The 19,332-nt window shown below is 52.2% G+C and overlaps 1 protein-coding gene across 13 annotated transcripts in view, besides 1 other annotated feature; it reads left to right on the forward strand.

The window, feature by feature from the left end:
- The window catches only part of IL34 (interleukin 34), an 80,784-nt gene extending 61,963 nt beyond the window's left edge, over positions 1-18,821 (forward strand). For 6 of the 13 annotated variants that reach the window (XM_047433649.1, NM_152456.3, XM_047433650.1 and 3 more), the window contains 6 exons: positions 4,687-5,114; positions 12,677-12,810; positions 14,741-14,818; positions 15,099-15,260; positions 17,757-17,892; positions 18,136-18,821. In XM_047433649.1, coding sequence (XP_047289605.1) covers positions 5,087-5,114; positions 12,677-12,810; positions 14,741-14,818; positions 15,099-15,260; positions 17,757-17,892; positions 18,136-18,326 — 729 coding nt within the window. In that variant the 5' untranslated portion in view covers positions 4,687-5,086 and the 3' untranslated portion in view covers positions 18,327-18,821. Of the gene's footprint in view, positions 1-4,661; positions 5,115-12,136; positions 12,456-12,676; positions 12,811-14,740; positions 14,819-15,098; positions 15,261-17,756; positions 17,893-18,135 lie in introns of those variants that run through there. The other 7 variants (NM_001172771.2, NM_001393495.1, XM_047433651.1 and 4 more) reach the window with 6 other exon arrangements.
- Positions 7,930-8,430: an enhancer, noted in NCBI's record as "H3K4me1 hESC enhancer chr16:70683694-70684194 (GRCh37/hg19 assembly coordinates)". NCBI's record gives its function as "activates a minimal SCP1, AML or CMV promoter by ChIP-STARR-seq in naive H9 embryonic stem cells {active_cell/tissue: H9 hESC(naive)}" and the evidence as "EXISTENCE:reporter gene assay evidence [ECO:0000049][PMID:30033119]".

A 19,332-nucleotide genomic window follows, 5' to 3' on the forward strand; every position in this document is an offset into this window, starting at 1 on the left:
CTGGCCAAAATTAATAATTTCAAAATGACACTAAAAATCCTCATTAGTTATTTTGGAGGAAGCCAGAAAACAATACAATCTGAAATGGACAAAGAAAATGTGGGATATTCATGCAAGGGAGCATTATTTGACAATAAAAAGAGTAAAGTACGGATACATGCTGTGTCTTAGTTTACCTGGCCTTCCATAAAAAAATACCATAGACCGGGTGGCTTAAACAACAGAAATCTGTTTTCTCACCATTCTCTGGGCTGGAACTTTGAGATCAGGGCACCAGCATGATTGATTTCCGGTGAGGGCTCTTCCCTTGGGTTGCAGATGGCCACCTTCTCACTATGTACTCACATGACCAGTTCTTTGTGTGAGTATGGGAAGAGACAGAGAGAGAGAGAGACAAAGACAGAGACAGAGAGAGTGAGCGTACTCTGATGTCTTTTTTTTTTTTTTTTTTTTTGAGACGGAGTCTCACTCTGTTACCCAGGCTGGAGTGCAGTGGCATGATCTCGGCTCACTGCAAACTTTGCCCTCTGAGTTCAAGCGATTCTCCTGCCTCAGCCTCCTGAGTAGCTGGGATTACAGGCACCTGCCACTGCGCCCGCCTAATTTTTGTATTTTTAGTGGAGACGGTGTTTCACCATGTTGGTCAGGCTTGTCTTGAACTCCTTACCTTGTGATCCTCCCGCCTTGGGCTCCCAAAGTGCTGGGATTACAGGCGTGAGCCACTGAGCCCGGCCTGATTTCTTTTCTTATAAAGGCATTATCCCACCATAAGGACCCCATCCTTGTGACCTCATCCAAACCTAATTATCTCCCAAGGCCTCATCTCCAGGAACCACCACATTAGGGGTTACAACTTCAACACATGTATTTTGGAGAGACACAAACATTCAGTTCATAACATGCTACAAAATGAATGAACCCTGAAAACATGCTAAGTGAAAGAAGCCAGACATGAAAGGTCCCGTATTGCATAATCAATCCCATTTATATGAAATGTCCAGAATAGGCAAATCCATAGAGACAGAAAGAATATTAGTGGCTGCCAGGGGCTGGGAGGAAGAGGGAATAGGGGGTGACTGCTAATGAGTTCAGAGTTTATTTTGGGGGTGATGAAAATGTTCTGTAATTAAATAATGGTGACTGTTGCACAACTTAGTACACTAAAAACCCACAAAGTTGTACACTTTATTATTTATTTTTATTTATTTTTATTTATTTTTGAGACGGATCTCACTCTGTCACCCAGGCTGGAGTGCAGTGGGACTACCTCGGCTCACTGCAACCTCTGCCTCCCGGGTTCAAGTGATTCTCCTGCCTCAGCCTCCTGAGTAGCTGGGATTACAGGTGCGCACCACCGTGCCTGGCTAATCTTTTGTATGTTTAGTAGAGATAGGGTTTTGCCATATTGGCCAGGCTGGTCTCGAATCCCTGACCTCAGGTGATCCACCTGCCTTGGCCTCCCAAACTGCAGGGATGACAGGAGTGAGCCACTGCACCTGGCTGTTGCACACTTTATTTATTTATTTTGAGACAGGGTCTTGCTTTGTCACCCATGCTGGAGTGCAGTGGCGTGATCATGGTTCACTGCAGCCTTGACCTCCCTGGCTCAAGTGATCCTCCCATCTCAGCCTCCCAAGTAGCTGGGACCACAGGCCCGTGCCACTACACCCACCTAATTAAAAAAATTTTTGTTGGTAGATACGGGTTCTCACTATGTTGCCCGGGCTGGTCTCAAAGCCCTGGGCTGAAGCGATCCCCCGGCCTTGGCCTCCCAAGGTGCTGGGATTACAAGTGTGAGCCATCACACGCAGCCTGTACACTTTAAAATGGTAAATTTTATGGCATGCAAATTATATATTGATTTTTAAAAAGAAAAAAGACTTAAGATGCACATCAGAGATTTAAAAAATAACCAGGGAAAATTGAACGTGGATTCTATATGAAATCATATTAAAGAGTTATTAATTTGAGGGTTGTGTGATGACAATATTGTGATTATATATTTTAAAAATCCCTACATGCTGGTGAAATGGCATGTTTGAGATTTGCTTTAAAATATTCCTGGAAAAAAAAATTGGGGGATGAGTGAAGCTGGAATGACAGAAGAGTGATCATTTTTTTCTTTTGTTTTGAGACAGAATCTCGCTCTGTTGCCCCGACTGGAGGGCAGTGGAGCAATCTTGGCTCACTGCAACCTCCGCCTCCTGGGTTCCAGTGATTCTGCTGCCTCAGCCTCCTGAGTAGCTGGGATTACAGGCATGCACCACCACACCTGGCTAATTTTTGTATTTTTAGTAGAGACAGGGTTTCACCATGTTGGCCAGGCTGGTCTCAAAGTCCTGACCTTTTATGGACAACTCTGTGGAAATAACTTTTTTGTTTTTCTATTGGTATTTGAAGTTGTTTTTTCCCCTTCTCCTTGGAGTTTATTCTGCCTCAACTGATTCACCCGCCTCGGCCTCCCAAAGTGCTGGGATTACAGGTGTGAGACACTGCACCCAGCCAGATTGACAATTTTTGAATCTGAGTAACTGCTATATGGGGGTCTGTTATACTATTCTACCTTGTTTCAGTTTGTTTAGACAACTTCCACTATAAAGGAATGAATTTTTTGGGTAGATGGAAATGTTTTGTATCTTGATTATTATAGTAATTACACAGCTCTATAAATGTGCTAAAAACTTTTAGAAATGTATACTGAAAAGGGTAAAATGTAGTATATGTAAATTAGCCCTCAATAAACCTGAAAAAAATCCCCAAACTAATGACAACTAAATGTTCTAGATACGTTAGTGTTTGTAGTGATGCTGTAACAGCAGGGGAATTGCCAGGGTGAGGAGGAGGAGGAGGGGGAGGAGGAGGGGGAGGGGGAAGAGGAAGAGGAGGAGGGAGGAGGGAGGAAAAGGAGGAGGGAGGAGGGAGGAAAAGGAGGAGGGAGGAGGAATGAAAAGGAGGAAGGGAGGAGGAAGGAGGAAGAGGAAGGAGGGAAGAGGAGGAAGAGGAGGAAGTAGGAAGAGGAAGGAGGTGGAAGAGGAAGGAGGAAGAGGAGGGAGGAGAAGGAGGAGGAAGGAGGAAGAGGAGGAAGGAGGAAGAGGAGGAGGAAGGAGGAAGAGAAAGGGAGTAGGAGGAAGGAGGAAGAAGAGGAAGAGGAGGAAGGAGGAGAAGGAAAAAGGAAGGAGGACGAGGAAGGAGGAAGAGAAGGAAGGAGAAAGGAAGAGGGAAGAGTAGGAAGGAGGAGGGGGAAAGAGGAGGAAGAAGAGGGAGGAAGGAGGAAGACGAGGAAGGAGGAGGAGGAAGAGAAGGAGGAAGAGGAAGGAGGAAAAGGAGGAAGGACAAGGAAAAGAGGAGCAGCAGCAGGCAGCGACTGGGGCTGAGATTCAGGGTGACTGCATAAGGGATTAACTTGAACAACCCGTGTTCTCTCTATAAGGCCCTGCCTGCCTGCTGGGCACCTCTTAGGGTAAGGGCCAGCATTCTTTGGTGACACCATGGATCACACAATGAAGAAGATGCCCAAGTCATACCTGCTCTCCCCCGATGGTGTCACTCTGTAGCCATTTTCCCCCACCAGAGGGGAGACAGGGAGGAGGCGAGGGGATGGAAGAGAACTAAATCAGAGACGGAATTCCAGCCTGATCTGCAGAGCAGACACAATGGTCCAGACCTTGCAGAGTCCAGAGGGGCAGATGGGAGGACCACGCACACACGCTGAGCCCTGTGTGGTTGTCGAATTTTGGGAGCAGCCACCAGCCCACAGGGTTTGAATTCCTGTCACACTTCTTACAAGCCGTATGACCTTGGACAAGTGTCTTAACCTTTCTGGGCCTCAGTTTCCTCATTGATAAACTGAGATTTTGCACTTCCATGAGATTGTTGTGAGAGATTCAGTGAATGTAAAGACCTTAGTCCTGGCCGGGTGCGGTGGCTCACGCCTGTAATCCCAGCACTTTGGGAGGCCAAGACAGCAGATCACTTGAGTCCAGGAGTTTGAGACTAGCCTGGCCAACATGGTGAAACCCCATCTCTACTAAAAATACAAAAATTAGCCAGGCATGGTAGTGCACATCTGTAATCCCAGCTACTTGGGAGGCTGAAGCAGGAGAATTGCTTGAACCCTGGAGGTGGAGGCTGCAGTGAGCCAAAATCACGCCACTGCACTACAGCCTGGATGACAGAGTCTGAGACTCCGTCTCAAAAAAATTTTTTTTTTCTTAATTTTTTTTTTATTAATAGAACTGAGGTCTTACTATGCTGACCAGGCTGGTCTCGAACTCCTGGGCTCACGCAATCCTCCCACCTTGGCCTCCCAAAGTGCTGGGATTACAAGCATGAGCCATTGCGTCCGGCTTGTTTTCGGAGTGGGAGCTCGTCTGCTTTTTTAACCTGTCCTTTAGCCTGAGTCATTCATGGACTCTACCATGGCTCTCGATGTGTGAACTCAAACCACCTGTTCATTCCTTGGTCCTGCTTTTGTTCAGGCCCCAGGCTGCCAGCTGGTGTCATCATAACTCACTCATGGGCCAGGGCCGTTCGGACATCCTGAAGTCATTTCTCACGTGAGCCGTGTCCAGCTGCCAGGGCCGGGTGGTCCTGTGCAGGCCGTGGGTGCGGTGTGCGCTGTGGCTGATGGCTGAGTGGCAGCGCTGCTCTTACATAATCAGTTTCTCTCCTCCTTTCTCTTCCTAGAGCCAGATTTCACACTGAGCAGCTGCAGTCGGAGAAATCAGAGAAAGCGTCACCCAGCCCCAGATTCCGAGGGGCCTGCCAGGGACTCTCTCCTCCTGCTCCTTGGAAAGGAAGACCCCGAAAGACCCCCAAGCCACCGGCTCAGACCTGCTTCTGGGCTGCCATGGGACTTGCGGCCACCGCCCCCCGGCTGTCCTCCACGCTGCCGGGCAGATAAGGGCAGCTGCTGCCCTTGGGGCACCTGCTCACTCCCGCAGCCCAGCCACTCCTCCAGGGCCAGCCCTTCCCTGACTGAGTGACCACCTCTGCTGCCCCGAGGCCATGTAGGCCGTGCTTAGGCCTCTGTGGACACACTGCTGGGGACGGCGCCTGAGCTCTCAGGGGGACGAGGAACACCACCATGCCCCGGGGCTTCACCTGGCTGCGCTGTGAGTACTGGGGGGTCCCTAGGGACCTGCATTGGGAGGCCTTGGCCTAGATCCAGGATCTGCCGTAACCATAGCAACCAGGGCATTCTTGCTGGTGAGAAGTTGCGATGCTTCCCAGCCGGACTGCAGACACCCTCTGAGATTCCCACGGCCGCCGTCTGCCCTGTCTGCCGCTCACTTCGGGCTCCGACGGGCAAGCTGGGTGGGCAGTTCTGGCTGGGTGGGCATGGTCCTCAGGGTGGTCTTAGGTCGGGGCAGGCACTGGGGGTAGGTGGCAGCATCTCACCTTTCCAGGCTTGTGGGTGTTGGGGAGCCCCGGGCGGGCAGCAGCGGCCCAGTCCTGGGTATGGCCGGTGGAGGGGGGCAGGGGCTGGTGAAAGTGTCTAGGGACCCAAGACCCACGGCAGAAGAGCAGCCAGATGCCTGGAGAAGGCAGCCTGTTCCCCTCCAACCCTCCCTCCATAACAGAACAGAATTAAAAAGCAGAAAGATAACACTGTTGGTAAAAAGAAAAATAAGTTGAAATGAGGACAGAAAGGAAAAAAAGGATCTGGAAGCCTCTTATGCCTGCTGGCTGGGAGGCCAGACCAAGATCCCCTCAGTCTCCAAGATCCAGTTCAATTGACTCAAATTCAACACATTTTTCCGGTGCCTCCCACGTGCCCACTGCAGAGTCACTGCCATGACAACAAGGACCTTGCTGTCTCGTGCCTCTGTCTCCAACGCCTGGCACAGGGTTGAGTGCTCAGGAACTGTTGGAGGTTTGGGGTATGAGCCTGCGAGGGATTGAAAGAAGAGTTGGGTCCACCCTGGCCCTTGTGGAAATATACAACAAAGGGTTGGGACATTAAGGATGGGTGGAAGGACCCAGCTGGACCCAATGTTCTGGAAACCCCTAGGTCATGAGAAGCAGGGGTGCAGCATGGGGGAGGGGCTACTGGAAATGGTCTAGAAGGTGGGGTGGTGGTCACACAGGTAGACCTGGGGTCATGAGGCCCATGTTCCAGGAAGAGGGGCCAGTGTGAGCAAAGGTTTGGCGGTGGGATGGTGAGGCCAGGCTGGGAGCTGGTTTGGACCCGGCTGGCTGAGGCCTTGAGAGCCAAGCAAAGTGTGCCTCCCTCCCCATAGCAGGCAGCCCTGGAGGATTTGAGAGCCCGGCGGGGGTGGAATCGTGATTGGGAGTTCCTCTGCTCTTGAAGATCAGTCTGGTGGTGTTTGTAGGAGTTACTGCTGTCACCGTCTGTGCAGGAGGGAATGAGGGTCATTCTGGAGGTGGAGGTGCGAATGAAAGGCAAGGGATGCTGGGCTGGTGGCTCACGCCCGTGATCCCAGCACTGTGGGAGGCCAAGGCAGGAGGACGGCTTGAGGCCAGGAGTTTGAAACCAGGCTGGGCAGCATAGCGAGACTCCATCTCTAAAAAAAGGAAAATTAGCCAGGTGTGGTGGCATACATCTGTAATCCCAGCTACTCAGGAGGCTGAGGTGGGAGGATCACTTGAGCCCAGGAGGTTGAGGCTGCAGTAGCAAGGATCGCATCACTGCACTGCAGCCTGGGCAACAGGGTGAGACCCTGTCTTTAAAAAAAAAAAAAAAAAAAAAAAGGAGAAAAGAAAAAGAGAGAAAGAAAAGCAAGGGAGAGGGGAAAAAGCTCCAGGAGGGGTGGGTCTTAGGACCAGGCAAAGACTGGCTGGGGGATGAGGGAGAGGGAGAGCAGCAGATTGAGGTGGGGGCTGGTGCCCAGGGGCTGGGGTGCTGAGGAAGTTGGGCTGCCATAACCAATTAGAAAGCTTCGGGTGGCTTAGAGCAACAGGAATGTGTCGTCTCACAGTTCTGGAGACCGGAAGTGTGAGATCAGGGTGCCTGCAGGGCTGCGTTCCCTCTAAAGGTGCCGAGAAGGAGCCTCCCTTGCCTCTTCCAGCTCCTGGTGGCTCCTGGCTTCCTTGGCTTGTGGCCTAGTCACTCAGATCTCCCTTTGTCTTTGCGTGGCCTTTCCCTTTGTGTGTCTCTATGTCCTCTCCTCTTCTTCCTAGGACACTAGTCACTGGATTTAGGGAACTGCCTAAATCCAGGATGGCCTAATCTTGACATCCTTCATTTAATAATGCCTGTAAGTGGCACAGGACAGGCGAGCCCCCAAGGGGGCTTAGCCTGCGAGGGTTCTTGGCTTTCCCTAGGAGAGAATTCAAGGCAAGCTGGTGGTAGAAGAAAACAGCTTTACTGAAGAGATGTTATAGCTCTGTGCCAGCTCCTGCAGAGCAGGGCTGTGCCAGAGGAAGCGTACTGAGGAGCAGCTCGGGGCCTTTTGCAGTCATATTTATACCCACCTTTAATTGCATGCAGATTAAGGGGCAGTTTATGCAGACATTTCTAGGGAAGGGGTAGTAACTTTTGGGACATTGGGTCATTGCTATGGAAAGCGGTGGTAACTCCCAGGCGTTGCCATGGCAATGGTAAACTGACATGGCACACTGCTGAGCATGTCTTTTGGAATGCTGCTTCTGCCCCGTCCACCCCTGTTTTCACTAGTCCTCAGTTTGGTCCAGTGTCAGGGCTCTGCCTCTGGAGTCGGTCCTACCTCCTACTTCACAAAGACCCCATTTCCAAACAAGGTCACACTCGGGTTCGGGTGAATGTGGATTTGGAGGAGATGCTATTTAACCCACTGCACAGGTTCAGATTTGGTCCCCGGGGCTGGGGGTGACAAGCCTCACTTGTCACTGCACATAGGGTCAACCCAGGGCCAGGGAACCAGGAAGGGAGTACCGTACTCACACAGATCTTTCTTAAGCCTCCTCTCTGTCTTGCAGGTTGTTTTATTATTTTATTTTTATTTTTATTTTTTGAGACGGAGTCTCACTCTGTCACCCAGGCTGGAGTGCTGCGGCACGATCTCAGCTCACTGCATCCTCTGCCTCTTGGGTTCAGATGATTCTTGTGTCTCAGCCTCCCGAGTAGCTGGGACTACAGGCACCTGCCACTGCGCCTGGCTAATTTTTGTATTTTTAGTAGCGATGGGGTTTCACCATGTTGGCCAGACTGGTCTTGAACTCCTGACCTCAGGTGATCCGCCCACCTCGGCCTTCCAAAGTGCTGGGATTACAGGTGTGAGCCTCCGTGCCCAGCCTGTGTTGTGGGTTCTTACCTCTGGGCTAAGACAAGGGCAGGGTGGGTCTCCTGACCAAGGTCAGGGGTGGCACTGGCTGTGGGGTTCCTGGTGTGCAGAGCATGTGGGGGACAGTGGCCTTGAGGTTGGGGCTGTGCTGTCCCTGCCTGGTCCCTGTTTGTTAACCTGTTTCTCTGGGTGGGTGGAGGCAGCAAAAAAAGAAACTTGCCCTTAGCAATGATGTTTGGGCTGCACTCAGAGGAAGGCTGCCCAGTTGGGGGAGAGGCAGATCATCTGTGGACAGGGTTTCCAGGGCAGCTGTGTGCCCACCGTGTCAGGCTGGGAGGCTCAGTGTCACTCCAAGGCACAGTCCCTGCCTTGAGGCCACAGCTGCCGGGTCCCCAGGGCCCCAGAACGGGACACAGAGAAGGGCAGGTGCTGTAGGGTTGGGAGGTGAAGTAGACGGCCAATGGTGATGGCCACACAGGAAAAAAGACCCAGTGTGGACAGAGGTACTGATTTTTTTAAAGAAAAGCTGAAATTTTGAATTGTTGTGTGAAATCCTTGTGGACCAGAGGTGGCTCTCGGGACACCAGCTTGCAACTGTTGCTCTAGGTCTGTGGTTCCAGACCCCCAGCCACAGCTTTACCTGGGACCTTGTTAGAAAGGTAGACTCTCTGCATCCTAGACTGGTTGAGCAGAGACTCTGGGGCAGGCAGGACAACCTGTGCCTTAACGAGCTCTGCAAGGGATGACAATGTCTGCTCCCATTTCTACTGCTTGAGGCGAATCCCCAAATGCACATGTGAAGTTCTCAGCACGCTGGGCTGTGCAGTGTTTAACTGCGTTATGGATTCACACACAGGCTCACGCCTGTAATCCCAGCACTTTGGGAAGCCGAGGTGAGTGGATCACGAGGTCAGGAGTTCAAGACCAGCCTGGCCAACCTGGTGAAACGCCGTCTCTACTAAAAATACAAAAAAAATTAGCCGGATGTGGTGGCGCGCACCTGTAATCCCAGGTCATGAGTGAATGGGGAAGGTGGTGCTGGAGACAGAGACCGATGGGGGCTGATGCAGAAAGGGGAGACCCTGGCGTGGTGATGGGGGGGAGAGAAGAGTCTCTGGGAGGCTTTGAAAGAGGTCTGTGTTGTGAGAGGGTACCTAGCGCAGGGCAAAGCATGAGCCCAGGAGGCAGGGATGATCTTGACCTGCAAGAGTAGATGCTAAGCTGAGGGGTTCAGGACTTAGGACAGAAAGTAAGCAGATGTTAAAGGGCCAAACACTGGTTCAGTTCATGTTTATCTGTTCTTCTCACCCAATACTGTATCAGGCACAGGGGAAGAGGGAGAGAGGAAGTGCAAGATAGATTGCAGACTTGCAACTTAGCAAAAAATGTGGGGCTATATGGGGTACAGGGCTTGAGGAGACCTGAGGCTCTGAGCTGAGCAAGGGCACTCCTGGTGGGAGGTCCTGCAGGGACAAAGGCGAGGCAGGAGGCCTGAGCAGGGCAGGTTTGGAGAAGGCAGTGGGGAGGTAGCAAATGGGTGGTGTGGCCCAGACCAGAGGGGCTGCAAGGACAAAGTCTTCCAAGATGCTGGGGAGTGGGGAAAATCCAATCAGTAATTCCTGCTCATAGCTGGGGGTGGCTCAGGGAGGTGACTCAGCCTGCCTGACTGCTTTTGTAAAAAAAAAAAAAAAGAGGATGGTTATTGCTTTTGTCTGTAACAATAATACATATGGATTATAGAACATAAAAAATGTCCTGGGTGGGTGCGGTGGCTTATGCCTGTAATCCCAGCACTTTGGGAGGCTGAGGTGGGTGGATCACGAGGTCAGCAGTTCAAGAGCAGCCTGGCCAACCTGGTGAAACCCCGTCTGTACTAAAAATACAAAAAAATTTAGCTGGATGTGGTGGCGCACACCTTGTAATCCCAGCTACTCGGGAGGCTGAGGCAGGAGAATGGCATGAGCCCAGGAAGCGGAGGTTGCAGTGAGCCAAGATTGCGCCACGGCACTCCAGCCTGGGTGACAGAGCGGGACTCCGTCTCAAAAAAAAAATAAATAAAAATAAAAATAAATGTCCTGCAAGGCCAAGGCCAGGTGTGGTGGCTCATGCCTGTAATCCCAGCACTTTTGGAGGCCAAGGTGGGAGCATCACTTGAGCATAGGAGTTCAAAACCAGCCTGGGCAAAACAGCAAGACCTCCTCTCTACAAAAAATTAAAAAAAAAATTAGCTGGGTGTGGTGGTGGCACCTGTAGTACCAGTTACTGGGAGGCTGAGGCAGGAGGATTGCTTGAACCCAGGAGTTTGAGATTGCAGTGAACAATGATGGTGCCACTGCACCTGTCTGCCTGGGCGACAGAGCAAGACCCTATTTGAAAAGAAAAACATGAAAAAATCTCCCATAGAGATTTGGTAGTCATGCTATGAACACAGATAGTGTTGAGTCATGCTGTTTTTAAGCTTCACTAAGCATATCTAATTGTTCTCATAGCACAGCCACATCTTTGACAATGTGATTTTTATTGGCTACATGCATTATTATGGAACGTCTAGGCCATTTCCAGATTTTCACTGTTATAAAATAAATGCTGCTCTGTACATCTTTGTTCATAATTTATTGGTTATATCTTTTTTGCTTTTCTTCCAATTTATTCCTAGAAGTGTATTTACTGGGTGAAAGAGTATAGACATTTTTAAGGCTTAGTGGTTTGAAGGGTGCGGATACTACTAAATCGATTAATAACAGAAATTGCTAAATTGCTTTCCAGGACAGCACTTGTCTCACTACTTGGCCAACATCAAGTAGTAATTGTTAAAACGAAATGAGCTGGGTGTATGACCGGGCATGGTGGCTCGTGCCTGTAAATCCAGCACTTTGGGAGGCAGAGGCAGGGAGATCAACTTGAGGTCAGGAGTTTGAGAACAGCCTGGCCAACATGGTGAAACCCCATCTCTACTAAAAATACAAAATATTGGCCGGGTGTAGTAGCCCCTGCTTGTAATCCCAGCTACTTGGGAGGCTGAGGCCTGAGGCACGAGAATTGCTTGAGCCTGGGAGGTGGAGGTTACGGTGAGCTGAGATTGTGCCACTGTACTCTAGCCTGGGTGACAGAGAAAGATTCTGTCTAAAAAAGAAAAAGCTGGGAAGCTGGGTGTAGTGGCACATGCCTCTCATCCCAGCTACTCAGGAGGCCACGATGGAAGGACCGCTTGACACTAGGAGTTTCAGACAAGCCTGGGCAACATAGCAAAACCCTGTCTCAAAAAAAAAAAAAAAAAGCCCCAACAACCCAAAACCACAAACACAAAAACTTTTTCATTTGAATAAAATGGGCCAGGCACAGTGGCTCACACCTATAATCCCAGCACTTTGGGAGGCTGAGGCAGGAGAATTGCTTGAGCTCAGGAGTTCGAGGCAAGTCTGGCCAACATGGCGATACCAGGTCTCTACAAAAAATACAAAAATTAGCAGGCGTAGTAGCATGCAACTGTAGTCCTAGCTACTCTGGAGGCTGAGGCAGAAGGATCGCTTGAGTCTGGGAGTTCTAGGATGCAATGAGCCATGATCCCACTACTGCACTCCAGCCAGGGTGACCAAAAAAAAGAAAAAGAAAAATTATATCTGATTGTTTTAATGTGAATTTATTTATCTAGTTAGTGAGTCTGATATTTTGGGTAGTTGCTGGCCTACTTCTGTTTTATTCTTTCTGCTCTGATGGACTTAACCTTTATTCATATTTGTTGCGAATTCTCTCCTTTTTTTCTGTTCAGTCACATGGAAATCGTATAGGCTGTTTTTGGAGTCACAGTGACCCCCAGTGGCAAAGGATGGTAATGTTTCAGCGGCTCGTTTGTTGCAGGAAGAGAGGCAGCCAAGTATGAGATCTGCTTAACGTCCTAGAATGACCAGACTGGAAGGCGCTACAGACCCGCTGGCATAGTTAGCTGGGAGGGACACTAAGATCAGATAGAGCAGGAAGGAAAGTGGTGTGGGGCGTGGGTGACTGAAGAGTCATTTTATCAAGTTGAAACCAGAATCCAGGATGATTCGATCTCCTGAATGCCGGGCTGGAAAACCCAGCAACGAGCTTTGAAAACATATCACCCGGACACCAGGGGCAGAGGCTGTTCTGGGCGGGAGGTTGTGCCTGCCCCACGGAGCGACAGAAGCGGGGAGACCAGACGTCGACCCTGAGGCGTGCCTCCTGGGGGGCTCCAGTGGCCGGCATGGGGTGGGTGTGGACTCTCTGCACTGCTAGTGCCTGCCTGACCTTGCTGTTCTGGAGCCAGACCCCAGGGAAAGCATTCCAGATCCCGTGCCCCCCACCACACCTTTCCCATTGGTGCTTGTCTCCTATGCAAATGGATGATGGTTGTGCTCGGCTTTGCGTGTTGTGGACGGCGTGGATGAGATGGAGGGTGCTCATGTGCTCTTGTCGGGTGTGGTCCACAGATCTTGGGATCTTCCTTGGCGTGGCCTTGGGGAATGAGCCTTTGGAGATGTGGCCCTTGACGCAGAATGAGGAGTGCACTGTCACGGGTTTTCTGCGGGACAAGCTGCAGTACAGGAGCCGACTTCAGTACATGGTAACCACGTGGGCACCAGCTGTGTCCCTGTCCCCGCGTCCCGGGGTTCACCTGGCATAGGCCTCTGGACATTCAGAGCCCTTCTTAGGACCTGTGTCAGCCCTGAGCCGACCATGGCCTGTTTCTCTGCCTTTCTCCGAAACCTACCCATGCACCTGGTCTGCACTTACTGACCCTCCTCCTGCCATCTCCTGGGGCCTCCACCCCTCCTCCTCGATCTCACTTTAATCCCACCTCCATGATGGCAGTCACCATATGACTCAGGAATGGACACCTGGAGCTCTTTGACAAACCCCAGGCACTTATTAGCCAGGGAGCTAAAGACCTAGAAATCGGAATATTTGGTTCTTTTTGCAGAGTGGAGATGTCTGTGTGGCTCTATGTATCTTTTTTTTTTTTTGAGACGGAGTCTTGGTCTGTCACCAGGCTGGAGTGCAGTGGCTCAATCTTGGCTCACTGCAACCTCCACCTCCCCGGTTCCAGTGATTCTCCTGCCTCAGCCTCCCGAGTAGCTGGGACTACAGGTGCGCGCCACCATGCCCAGCTAATTTTTGCAATTTTAGTAGAGACGGGGTTTCACCATGTTAGTCAGGATGGTCTCCATCTCTTGACCTCGTGATCCGCCTGCCTCAGCCTCCCAAAGTGCTGGGATTACAGGCGTGAGCCACTGCGCCCGGCCCTTTTTTTTTCTTTTTAATTTTTTAACTTTTCCTAAAAATCCTTTTCTTTTCTTTTGAGACAGGGTCTTGCTCTGTTGCCCAGGCTGGAGTGCAGTGGATAATTTCAGCTCACTGCAACCTCCACCTCCAAGGCTCAAATGATCCTCCCACCTCAGCCTCCCAAGTAGCTGGGACTACAGGCATGCACCACCATGCCCAGCTAATTAAAACTTTTTTTTTGAGTAGAGACAGGGGTTCACCATGTTGCCCAGGGTGGTCTTGAACTCCTGGGCTCAAGCAATATGCCCACCTTGGCCTCCCAAAGTGCTGGGATTATAGGTGTGAGCCACCATGCCTGACCAATGTATCTTTTTAAATTAATTAATTTAATTTTTAGAGACAGGGTGTCACTCTGTTGTCCAGGCTGAAGTGTAGTGGCGGGATCATAGCTCAGTGTAAACTTAAACTCCTGTGCTCAAGTGACTGTCTCTCCTCAGCCTCCCAAGGTGCTGGGATTACAGGCGTGAGCCACTGCACCTGGCTTGTGTCTTTTTTATTTTAACAGCTTTACTGAGATATAATTTACATATTTATATATAAAAGACATAATTTACTCATTTAAAGTGCACAACTCAAAGAGTTTTTAGTTCACAGAGTTGTGCAACCATCACCATCATAGGTTTTAGAACATTCTCACCCACAAAATAACATGTTTTTCTTGAAGTAACGTGTCCTCACTCTTGAGCCTGAAATTTCTGCCTTAACAGGAACTGTGTATTTTGTTTCACCCACCCTGAGTCCCAGAGGAAAGTGAAGTGTTTTTATCCCAGCTGGGAGCCAGGCACACCTCTCTGCACAGGACCACCTCTGCCGTCAAAGGTCTGGGCCCTGAGTTCTCTCCTCCTACATCAAAATTCATCTGGAGGCCGGGCATGGTGGCTCATACCTATAACCCCAGCACTTTGAGGGGCTTGAGCCCGGGATTCAAGACCAGCCTGGGCAACAAGAAGAAACCCCATCTCTACAAAAAATAAAAAAATCATCTGGGCGTGGTGGCACACACCTGTAGTCCCACCTACTTGGGAGGCTGAGGTGGAAGGATTGCTTGAGCCTGGGAGGTCAAGGCTTCCGTGAGCCATGATGCTGCCCCTGCACTCCATACTGGGTGACAGAGTGAGACTAACTGTTAAAAAAAACATCATTTGGGAGGTTGGGGAGCCTGCTGGTCATTTCTACTTCTGGCCTCATAGTTTGTTCTTGTGCCTCTCCAGAAACACTACTTCCCCATCAACTACAAGATCAGTGTGCCTTACGAGGGGGTGTTCAGAATCGCCAACGTCACCAGGCTGGTGAGAATCCCTTCCTGGGCTGGGGGGACCCTGCCTCCTGCGACATCCGGTGGGCCCCAGCCTCAGAGGCGCGCTGGGACTGGCAGGTGGTGCTGCTGGCCTGGGGCCTCTCCTCAGCCCCGAGAGCAGGCTGGCCCTTGGCCCAGGCACATGTTTGTCCACTGTCCACAGCGGACGGCCCGCGTCTGCTCCCTATGCAGGGGCAAGTCCCTGGTGAGGGAGTGGTCAGAGCCCAGAGGCCCATGTCTCCCGAGTTGCAGTGACTTCCCTGTTTCCGCAGCAGAGGGCCCAGGTGAGCGAGCGGGAGCTGCGGTATCTGTGGGTCTTGGTGAGCCTCAGTGCCACTGAGTCGGTGCAGGACGTGCTGCTCGAGGGCCACCCATCCTGGAAGTACCTGCAGGAGGTGGAGACGCTGCTGCTGAATGTCCAGCAGGGCCTCACGGTGAGTTGTGTGGAGGAGTGGCAGGTGGGGTGTGTGTGTGTGCACACGTGTGTACATGTGTGTGAGGTGTGGCCAAAGGCTAGTGAGGGAAAGGGTGAATACACGGAAAGATGGGCACAAGCAGAGGGACGTGGGAGAAGTGGGGGAGGGGTGCAGGAAAAGAGGCCTGTGGAAGGAAGAGGCAGCCGTGGTGGTCATGAGAGCCGGGCTCGGGGTGCAGGCGATGCCTCTGAGACTCTGTTCTAGGCTCTGCCTCTCTCCCTCTGGATCCTGGGCAAGTCATCGTACCCTCTTTGTTTCTGCAACACGAGGGTCCTGGAGGTGGGGTAGGGGGAGAGGGGAAGAATGGATGGAGCACAGGGAATGTTTAGGGCAGTAAAACATGCTGCAGGCCGGGCGCGGCGGCTCATGCCTGTAATCCCAGCACTTTGGGAGGCCGAGGTCAGGAGTTTGAGACCAGCCTGGCCAAATGGTGAAACCCCGTCTCTACTAAAAATACAAAAATAAGCCAGTCCTGGTGGTGGGCACCTGTTATCCCAGCTACTCAGGAGGCTGAGGCAGGAGAATCGCTTGAACCTGGGAGGCAGAGGTTGCAGTGAGCTGAGATTGCACCATTGCACTCCAGCTTGGGCAACAAGAACGAAAAACTCCATCTCAAAACAAAAAACAAAAAACTATGCTGTATAATGCATTCATGTTGTATACATGACATCATGCATTTGTCACAACCCACAGAACTGTACAACAGAGAGTGTGAGCCCTAATGTAAATTATGGACTTTAGTTAATTAAAAAAAGAGGTCCCCCATCCCTGACCCGCTCAGAGAAATTGATCTGAGGCCTCAGGGATATTATCCTCTAAAATGCCTGAGTTGTAGTAAAAAAGGAAGGTGGCGAGATGACCCATGCAGGCCGTGTGTGCGGTGGGACCTCTCCCCGTCTCCACCAGACCTCCTCAGGACTCTGGTGCACACCTGTCCCTGGGATCCACCTGCTGCCCTGCCCAGCCAGCTGCTGACAAGGCCCAGCTTGTCGGGAGAACATCCCAGGCCAACTGTGAGCTTCCGACGGTGAAAGGGCTTAGGGACTAGCACCTGTTTTGCAGCTGCCTGGAGCTTTCCTGGAACCAGACTGGTGGGGAGGCTGTCAATTCCTACAAAGTCAGGAGACTCCTTGATCTGCTTGGTGGCTCTTTTTCCTGTTTATTTCATTTTATTTCTTTTTTATTGTTTTAGAGATGGGGGTCTCGCTATGTTGCCCAGGCTGGTCTTGAACCCCTGGCCTCAAGTGATCTTTCTGCCTCAGCCTCCCAAAGTCCTGGGATTACAGGACTGGGATTACATCCTGCCTGGCCTCTGTGGTGGCTTTTTTTGTTTTTTTGAGGCGGAGTCTCACTGTGTCGCCCAGGTGCATTGCAGTGGGGCAATCTTGGCTCACTGCAACCTCCGTCTCCCAGGTTCAAGCAATTCTCCTGCCTCAGCCTCCCAAGTAGCTGGGATTATAGATGCCTGCCACCACACCTGTATTTTTAGTAGAGACGGGGTTCTGCCATGTTGGTTAGGCTGGTCTTGAACTCCTGGCCTCAAGTGATATGCCTCCCTCAGCCTCCCAAAGTGCTGGGATTACAGGTTGAACCACCATTCCTGGCCGTCTCAGTCTTTTCATGGCCTTCTGCCCTGTTTCCATGTCTGTCACCTTTCTCTTACAAGGACATCAGGCATTGGATTTAGGGCCTACCTGAAATCCAGGATGATGTCCTTCTAAGATCCTGAACTTAATTACCTCTGCAAAGAACCTATTTCCAAATAGGGTCACATTCACGGGTACCAAGGGGTAGGACCAAGACAGCTTTTTGGGGGAGGAGAGGGACAATTTGGCCCAGGACATGTTGCCTTGTTGTCACCCCCTTCCAGAAGATCACCCCCCACGTTTCCCATGATGCTTTCTACAGTGGCCCTGACCTCCTGTTCAGGGACTTGATTCCCTTGGTGCCACGGTGCACCCCACATGACCCTGTTGTTGCATATCGTGGAGAGAAAGCACCCCAGCTTGAAGCTGGACACCCTGCCCTGTGTATGTGACTTAAGCCTCAGTGTCTCTGTGAGGACCTTCTCTTGTTCCTTGGAGTTGATGGAGATGTCTGCTTCTTGAGGGACAGTTTTCCCCAGGTCAGGGGGTCCTCACGCAGTGGTGGGTGGCCGTGCCTGGGTGCAGTTTGCCCCACTTTCCTCACTGTCCTGGTCTACGCCCTTTACTCATTTTTCAAGGATGGAAAAGCGAAGCCTCTGAGTTGTACATGGGTGAGTGGTGGCATCTGGGACCCTCCCCATGCCCACAGGAAGAAGATGGTGAGAAATAGCTATCCAGGCTCATGGTCACAGGAAGTCTGGTCCTTCTTCCGGGGTTTGGGCAGCTCCAGGTGACTGGACAGCCCTCACGGCTCTCCTGGGGTGCGGCCCCATCTCGCCACCGCTCCTGACTGTTTCCTCCTTTCCAGGATGTGGAGGTCAGCCCCAAGGTGGAATCCGTGTTGTCCCTCTTGAATGCCCCAGGGCCAAACCTGAAGCTGGTGCGGCCCAAAGCCCTGCTGGACAACTGCTTCCGGGTCATGGAGCTGCTGTACTGCTCCTGCTGTAAGGAGCTCTCAGGGGATGGCGCCTGGGGGTGGGAGGCCAGGCATCTGGGCCCACCCAGGCCAGCTGGCAGAGCTGGCGTCCTCCCGGGCATATCCTCTGCTCCCCGGGGCTACAAGCCATTTCTGGAAGCCAGGATGGGCCCTGGGTAGAGTGGGGGACAAGCACATGCGGCTTGGCTTAGTGGGGAGGGTGGTCTTGAACACTGCTGCAGTCTTTTTTTTTTTCCCCTATCTCTTGCAGGTAAACAAAGCTCCGTCCTAAACTGGCAGGACTGTGAGGTGCCAAGTCCTCAGTCTTGCAGCCCAGAGCCCTCATTGCAGTATGCGGCCACCCAGCTGTACCCTCCGCCCCCGTGGTCCCCCAGCTCCCCGCCTCACTCCACGGGCTCGGTGAGGCCGGTCAGGGCACAGGGCGAGGGCCTCTTGCCCTGAGCACCCTGGATGGTGACTGCGGATAGGGGCAGCCAGACCAGCTCCCACAGGAGTTCAACTGGGTCTGAGACTTCAAGGGGTGGTGGTGGGAGCCCCCCTTGGGAGAGGACCCCTGGGAAGGGTGTTTTTCCTTTGAGGGGGATTCTGTGCCACAGCAGGGCTCAGCTTCCTGCCTTCCATAGCTGTCATGGCCTCACCTGGAGCGGAGGGGACCTGGGGACCTGAAGGTGGATGGGGACACAGCTCCTGGCTTCTCCTGGTGCTGCCCTCACTGTCCCCCCGCCTAAAGGGGGTACTGAGCCTCCTGTGGCCCGCAGCAGTGAGGGCACAGCTGTGGGTTGCAGGGGAGACAGCCAGCACGGCGTGGCCATTCTATGACCCCCCAGCCTGGCAGACTGGGGAGCTGGGGGCAGAGGGCGGTGCCAAGTGCCACATCTTGCCATAGTGGATGCTCTTCCAGTTTCTTTTTTCTATTAAACACCCCACTTCCTTTGGTTTGCTTTGCTTTGCATCTTCAGGGGTGAACCTGGCGGGGATGGGAGGTGGCCAAGTGCAGGAAGTGGAGGGGGGCAGGGCTGAGGATGCGGATTTGGAGTGGATGGAGCCTGCCCAAGGGATGTGGAATGAGAGGGATGCCAGGGATGGAGTTCCGGCCCAGCCCAGCCCAGCCCAGCCCAGCCCAGCCCAGCCCAGCCCAGCCCAGGGGCCTCTGCAAGCCTGGGTTGGGGGAGGCGGTGTTGGGCTGATACCTTGGCTTTGACCCTTGCCATCCTCCCTCCCTCCCTCCCTCTCTCCCTCCCTCCCTCTCTCCCTCCCTCCCTCCATCTGGCTGCCCCCAGGCAGCCCCTAGCAGGGACACATATGGGACATTTCAGAGACCCAGGTCTGGCCCTGGCACCTACATTGAGATCTGAGATCCTCTGGGAACCCCCAGCCTGTCCCCCTGCAGCTGGGATCTGGGGTGGGAAAGGTGAGGTGTGGGGATGGGGTAGGAAGCAGCCAGGCA

This window comes from Homo sapiens, chromosome 16 (genome assembly GCF_000001405.40).
Source record: "Homo sapiens chromosome 16, GRCh38.p14 Primary Assembly".
Taxonomy (NCBI): Eukaryota; Metazoa; Chordata; class Mammalia; order Primates; family Hominidae; genus Homo; species Homo sapiens.